Source organism: Homo sapiens, chromosome 3 (genome assembly GCF_000001405.40).
Source record: "Homo sapiens chromosome 3, GRCh38.p14 Primary Assembly".
NCBI lineage: Eukaryota > Metazoa > Chordata > Mammalia > Primates > Hominidae > Homo > Homo sapiens.
In genome coordinates, this window is record NC_000003.12 from 87,196,313 (window position 1) to 87,197,715 (window position 1,403).

Genomic DNA, 1,403 nt, shown 5'->3' on the forward strand with positions numbered 1-1,403 from the left:
GACACTCAATGCCAACCTGGGAAAGCAGCTAGGAGGAGGGGCCTTACCCTGCAAAGCCACAGGGGTGTAACTATGCAAGGCTATGAGAGTCCAACTCTTGCATCAACGTGCCCTGGATGTAAGACATGGAGTCAAAGGAGATCATATTGGAACTTTAAGGTTTAATGACTGCCCCTTTGTTTTGGCCAATTTCTCCCATTTGCAGCAGCTGTATTTACCCAATGTCTGCACCTCCATTGTATCTAGGAAGTAACTAACTTGGTTTCGATTTCACTGGCTCATAGGTGGAAAGGACATGTCTTGTCTCAGATGAGACTTTGGACTTGGACTTTTGGGTTAATGCTGGAATGAGTTAAGACTTTGTGGGACTGTTGGAAGGGCATGATTGTCTTCTGAAATGGGAGGACATGAGATGTGGGAGGGGTGAGGGATGGAATTATATGGTTTGGCTTTGTGTCCCCACCCACATCTCACCTTGAGTTGTTATAATCCCCATGTGTCCAGGGTGGGACCAGGTGGAGGTAATTGAATCATGGGGGTGGTTTCCCCCATGCTGTTCTAGTGATAGTGAGTTCTCACAAGATCTGATGGTTTTATAAGCATCTGGCATTTCCCCTGCTGGCACTCATTCTCTCTCCTGCTGCTTTGTGAAGAGGTGCCTCCTGTCATGCTATATGTGGCCACATTCCAATATGAGGTGATGCACTATGTATGCAGACTTACTAAGAGAGTGGCAAGACTGGATTTGCAACTCTCAGCCTGTCACCCTCTTCCAAGCTGAGGGTGTAGATAAATTTTCTGGAGTGCTTTACCATCCACCCTCCCTCCATTGCTGGATATACACAGACACACCCACACACAAACACACCCCCATGCACTGGGAAAGAAAAAGAGGTGGTTCTTCCCTCTTGATGTAAGTCAAGTGATAGGACTTGGCCCTCGAAGTTTGTTAGGTACAGAAGCTGATGCCAGATGTGTACCTTAAAAAGTCCACAGGGAATAGACTGAATGGCAGAGGTAAGAGGCTACAATGGAAACAAATCTCATTAAAGGCAGAAGAAAGGTATGTGATGCTCTCTGGCTGGAGAGTAACATAAGTATCATGTGCAGCCTGAAGCCCTTTTAAGTGCTACTACAGGAGACTGCCTAGTAGGTTTATATGACCCCAATAGAGTGATGGGCCTTTGGATGCTCATGGTAGGGGCCTGAAGGAGGGGTCATATGTGGAGTGAAATGGACTACGTGAGAACAGTATTGCGCACCTCAAAGGCAACTCAATCAGAAGTTCCCAGCTGTGCATGTACCTGAGGAACCCAGGAAGGCATCTAGCAGGGCGTGTTGGTATTAGCAAACAACCACATCTAGAGAGCACCATCCACTGGATTTTATACCTGTGCCTGTCA

General features: G+C 47.0%; 1 annotated feature.

Moving 5' to 3' along the window:
* Window positions 286-817: an enhancer, noted in NCBI's record as "OCT4-NANOG hESC enhancer chr3:87245748-87246279 (GRCh37/hg19 assembly coordinates)". NCBI's record gives its function as "activates a minimal SCP1, AML or CMV promoter by ChIP-STARR-seq in primed H9 embryonic stem cells {active_cell/tissue: H9 hESC(primed)}" and the evidence as "EXISTENCE:reporter gene assay evidence [ECO:0000049][PMID:30033119]".